The 5780-nt window shown below is 40.4% G+C and overlaps 1 pseudogene; it reads right to left on the bottom strand.

The window, feature by feature from the left end:
* Positions 4440 to 5780, bottom strand: LOC100996670 (zinc finger FYVE-type containing 9 pseudogene; annotated as a pseudogene).

The raw sequence follows: 5780 nt of genomic DNA on the forward strand, positions 1-5780 counted from the left end.
GCACTGGATCTATACCTATACAAAACAAGCTACCAGCAGAGCCCACTGGGAGTGGTCATGATATAATCAGGAATGTTATATTCACACGTTGTAGATCTGCATATGAGAGGAGGGTTTGCAGATAGCAGATTCTAGAAAAGTTGTCTAATCAGACAGTAAATGAAGGTGTTGAAGCACTGAACAAAAATAAGCTGCTTTAATTACTCATAAGAGGGAAGTACAAGTCATTATTCCATCTGCCAATTTACAGACTGTAAGATACCCTTTAAAAGTAGCAGTAAGTAAACTCTTCATAAAAGTTAGACTGTATGACAAATCCACTGCCTTTCTTCTTTTGCAGCAGGGCCTTTCTTTTTAATGACTATTTTTTGTTTTTGGAGATGAAGTCTGTCACCCAGGCTGGAGTTCAGTGGCCTGATTGATCACTGCAGCCTCGACCTCCAGCTCACATAATCCTCCTGCTTCAGCCTCCTGAGTAGCTGGGACTACGGGTGTGTGCCACCATGCCTGGCTTTTTAAAAAAAAAAATTTTGTGGAGTTGGTGTCTCGCTATGTTGCCCAAGCTGATGTCAAACTTCTGGATTCAAGCACTTCTGCCCAAAGTGCTAGGATTATAGGTGTGAGCCACTGTGCCCAAGCTAGTGACTATTTTTGAAAAAAGAAGCACATTACCCTCCCTTGTTAATCACTTATGTACAAAAATGCATGTTTTGCTGTTGATCTGTTTTAACTCTTTCTACATAAATAACACATTTGTACATGTATATGTGCAGATATATTTATAATGTTAAAATTGTGTTTAAGTGATGTTTACTAAACAGGATAAAATTTTGTTTGGAAAATTGCGATGTGAAATTTTATCTAGTTAATCTATAGTCCTTTCCCTTATGGTGTCCAGCTCTATGCAGGCTCTGCCTCACTCCAGATTATGTAAATATCAATTCATATTCAAATGAATTTGAAATTTAGCTTTCAACATTTGCCTTTTTAATTCATCTTGAAATCATTGTGGTAATATTATTTCCTGTCCACTAGCATACTTTTTAATCCCAACAGTAAAGTTTCTGAAAAGACCACTAGTTCTTCTTTTGAGCAGTTACTGATACCTTGCCATTGAAGGGGAGGATAGATGCCCACAGCCCCTCTCCTTCAACCACATATGTCCAAGTAAAACTAGTATTTCTTCTTTTTAAAAAGATAGACATAATTATTTTCCGTATTATTGAATACATTTCTGTTGTAACCTCAGTTCTACTCTTCAGAATCCTTTGTTCGATTTTCTTGTAGTTGATTTGATGATCCCACTCACACTTTCCTACCAGTTGTTCCAGAGACGATGGGCTTAGTCACACAGTGGGGAGACACGTTTGTGGGGGTTGGGTGGAAGTTCTGGTTCAGGTCTGCATCTGTTCACCATCATTTATGATGATGCTGTAACTCACATCTGCTCTTTGATGAGAAGTCACACAAGTAATTGCTAAATTAACCCGTCAAATCTAACTATCATTCAGCTATGTCTCACTGAGCCTTTTCTGGACAAATCGTGTTGTTCTCAAGAATATTTATGTGACTTTATCCTTTGTGCAAAGGCTATAGGCAACGGAAGCGATAGGGGAAGTATGTGGAAGGTTGACCCACATAGCTGTTGCCATATGCAACTTTTCAATCTTCTTGATTTCTGCTTCTCTTCCCAGTTCTTATCATCCATAGTGATTTTTGGAAAAACTGCCACTACATTGGCATTGTGAGTACTCAGAGTGGTGTGTCTCTTCTCCTTAGCTAGACTGTCAGGACAATTCTATTCGCTTTCAGACTTCCAAATGTCATCACATCTTATTCGTGCCTGACCTCCTTTTCTCTCATTCGCAAGATATTCATGGCTCCTTTTAAATAGGATAATGGCCAAATGAAAAGTGTGTTATTTTCTGAAAAAATTGCTGAAAGGTGAGGAAAGTGGCAAATGTATTTGCCTATAAAATTTTTAAGGAAAAAATTAAGGTTGAAATGAAAGTAAGGATATTTTCATCCAATTACCTCATTCAATTATCATAATCAAGGTCAGAAAAGAAAGAAACTTCAGTTCAGCCTTTGCTAGAAGTAACTTGCAACAAATCACACATCTACTGACTCTGACATTCGCCCAGTGATAGCAGCAATGCTCCACATATCACATGCTATACTGAAATATAGCAATTAAAATAGTTTTCGATGCAGATCAAGCAGTAATTACTTTTGCCCAGAAATCTTAAAAAATAAATTGTATGTGGAGAACAGGAAGCTTAGGAAATGAGGGTGCCTTTTATCTTTGCAGTGACAATTTACCTTGCGCTCGCAGTGACATTTTCTAGATTTTAAAAATCAACGTTTTTTATTTTTATTTATTTATTTATTTTTTTAAATCTGCTGGCCCTTTTGCTTTTAGCAGCCACAGACTTCTTGGCCTCTCAAATGCCCGGATGCCTGAAACTTCTGAAGAGATACTGCCTTCAGCTTCTTCTCAGTCCCAGCACGGTGTGAACACGTAGCTCCGATGACGCCTCTGCTTGCTTCAGCCTGCTGGTGCTTAATTAGGTGCTTATCCTAACACCTTAGAACATACTTTCTGTAGATGGTTTAATTCCAACCATCATATATGCTTTTTCTCAGATTTTCTCCAGCTTCTCAAAACTTCCCTGTAAATGAGGCCTTGTAGGCAGCTTTCTTGCTATGACCTCACCTTCCATTCAGCACAGAAACAGCATCCATTGCTGTTATGCAATGGATAAAATTGTATAACAAAGGTTATGGTTTCATATCTTTAATGTTACTGGCAGACTTTACTCCTGGCCTTCTCCTAATCAATAGGCCAGTCTTCCCCTCCCCAATCCCCCATTTTTAGCCATCTAATTTTATTCCTTACATTCGTTCTTATAAAGGCAAAAACCTGGCCGGGCACGGTGGCTAATTCCTGTAAGCCCAGCGCTTTGGGAGGCCAAGGAGGGTGGATCATGAGGTCAGGAGATTGAGACCATCCTGGCTAACACAGTGAAACCCCGCCTCTACTAAAAATACAAAAAAATTAGCGTGGCAGCGGGCACCTGTAGTCCCGGCTACTCGGGAGGCTGAGGCAGGAGAATGGCGTGAACCCGGGAGGCAGAGCTTGCAGTGATCCGAGATCGCGCCACTGCACTCCAGCCTGGGTGACAGAGCAAGACTCCATCTCAAAAAAAAAGACGCAAAAATCTTTTTTAGCCTTCTCTTCAGAATGGTTAAAATATATTGGCAACAAAAACAATTTTTACAAATGATTTAAAACACAAATTATTTGCTTATTTTTCACACTAATAACAAAGAATATAGACACTATATATGTTCCAATCACATTGATCATGCAGAAAATAAATATTCTTTGGTACTGGTTTTCCTTTGATCACAAATAGATATGAGGGCAAAATGTCTTATCACTTATTTACAAATAACTGATGGCCAAAATGGATAATTGTCATGATAGAAGTTATTGACACTGGCTGGGTGGGGTGGCTCATGCTTGTAATCCTAGCACTTTGGGAGACCGAGAAAGGTGGGATCACCTGAGGTCAGGAGTTTGAGACCAGCCTGGCCAACATGTAGAAACCCTGTCTCTACATAAAAAAAAATAAAAAATAAATAAACACTCTTTGGTTTTGGTGGTGGGCACCTGTAATTCCAGTTACTTTGGGAGGCTGAGGCAGGAAAGAAGTTATTGATACAAATATTTGCAAAAATAAAAAGTTATTTGATACCCACAAATAATTCCAAAGTATGTCCATGTGCTAATTTGTAAATAGGAAGGAAGTTCTTATTTTGAAACTTGCAGCCTGGAAAATATTTATAAGGTTGTTATGACATTGATAACTGGAGTACTTCCTATATCAACTTACTAGAATTTTGGAGACTGACTTTAAAATATAATAAAAAGGGAAAGACAGGGAATTGAACTTCCTTCTCATGTTTTTTACAAATTTTACAGGGAGCCAGTCTCATTTATGTAATCACAGATTTATTTTACAAGTTTGGACTTGCAAAAATATGCCAAAATTTGAATGCCTTACCCATTTTTTTGGGAAGCAGCTAAAATATGTAATGCACTGACCTTTTAATGTTCACTTTGATTGGTTAATGGTTACACCTTTACAGCTCAGTCAGATTGTAAACAAGGGGACAAAACTGAATATATAAGGTCAGAGAAGTATAGTGACAAAATTTATGAACCCCTATACATTTCCTATGAATAAAAAATGATTAAAATTCATACGTTTGCTTTTTAAATATATACATAAGAAACATCAAAAATTAATTCAAAGCATATATTAGCAAATATATTCTTAATTTTGTCTTGAATAACCTTCTTTAGGTGTGCCTTTTTCTACAAAGTTATGTCTTCATTAAACATTTTTCAAATTATTAGTATTATTATTTTTAACTGATGCTTCATATTTTATTTCCCCTCTGCTCTCCCATCCCACCTTTGGTGATGGTTGTGCCCATCTGAGCATTTCGGGGCACATGACCGTAAGTAAATCTTGAGAGAGGAGTGGAATTATTGTCTAAACACTAACAGAAGGGGATTACCTGTAAGGATAGCATAACTGTTGTGCAGGAACAGAAGCTGCCCAGATCTTCTTGGTGGAGAGTGCATAGAAAAAAGACTTAGAATTATGGAACATCTGTCCCCCCAACCACCCTTTCCCACCCATCCCCCAAACCCCCACTCCCACCCTATTCCCCGCCCAATTAATAGTGTTAACAAAAGGTTAATCTAACTTTTTTTTTTTTTTTTGACGGAGTCTTGCTCAGTCGCCCAGGCTGGAGTGCAGTGGCGCGATCTCAGCTCACTGCAAGCTCCACCTCCCGGGTTCACGCCATTCTCCTGCCTCAGCCTCCCAAGTAGCTGAGACTGCAGGCGCCCGCCACGACGCCCAACTAATTTTTTGTATTTTTTAGTACAGACGGGGTTTCACCGTGTTAGCCAGGATGGTCTCCATCTCCTGACCTTGTGATCCGCCCGCCTCGGCCTCCCAAAGTGCTGGGATTACAGGCGTGAGCCACCGCGCCCGGCTTCCAGAATATAAAAAATGAGTTCCATGACGACAGGGCCCTCACTGAGCTGGCAGGCCCCTCCATGGATCACCGGCACCAAGGCGCTGTCCAAATCATTCATGGACTGCGAGGGAAGGGGCTGGCCGCTGCTCCCTGCTTGATAGCCAGCCTGATCTGAGTCAAGTGTTACACGTAGTCCCAGTTTGGTCATTCCATCCTCCTTCAGAAGCTTCAGGAGCAAGGCAAAAAGCCTTGGCAACATGCTCAGTCAATCTACTGTGATCCGTAGGATCACTGAGGCAATTGTGCCGGTCATCGTTTCCTTGTAATCCCAGCACTAGGATTTCTAGGAAATCCTGGGAATCGTTTTCTAGAAAAAACACCTCTGTCCATATGATGACTTTTCCATTTGCTTTGTATTCTGATCCGTGGAATATCTTCACATTTGTTATAGTCTCCATGGACTTCCCATCTATAGGACTTAGACACCCTTGCTAACGTTCTTGTCATCATCCACCCACCGGATGTGCATGCGCTCCTGGGGATCCTCCGCGTCTGCCTTCCCACAGGTGATGCTGAAGTCCCTCGTCTCTAGCAGTGCCTGCCTCGAGGAATCCATGTTCTCTGCAGTGATCTGGACCATAACGCCATCTTCCACAATACTGGACTTGGCAAGGTATCCAGAAGAGGATTTCAGAGCGCCACCGAACACAAAAAAACTG

The sequence above is a fragment of the Homo sapiens genome, chromosome 15 (genome assembly GCF_000001405.40).
Source record: "Homo sapiens chromosome 15, GRCh38.p14 Primary Assembly".
In the NCBI taxonomy this organism is placed as follows: domain Eukaryota; kingdom Metazoa; phylum Chordata; class Mammalia; order Primates; family Hominidae; genus Homo; species Homo sapiens.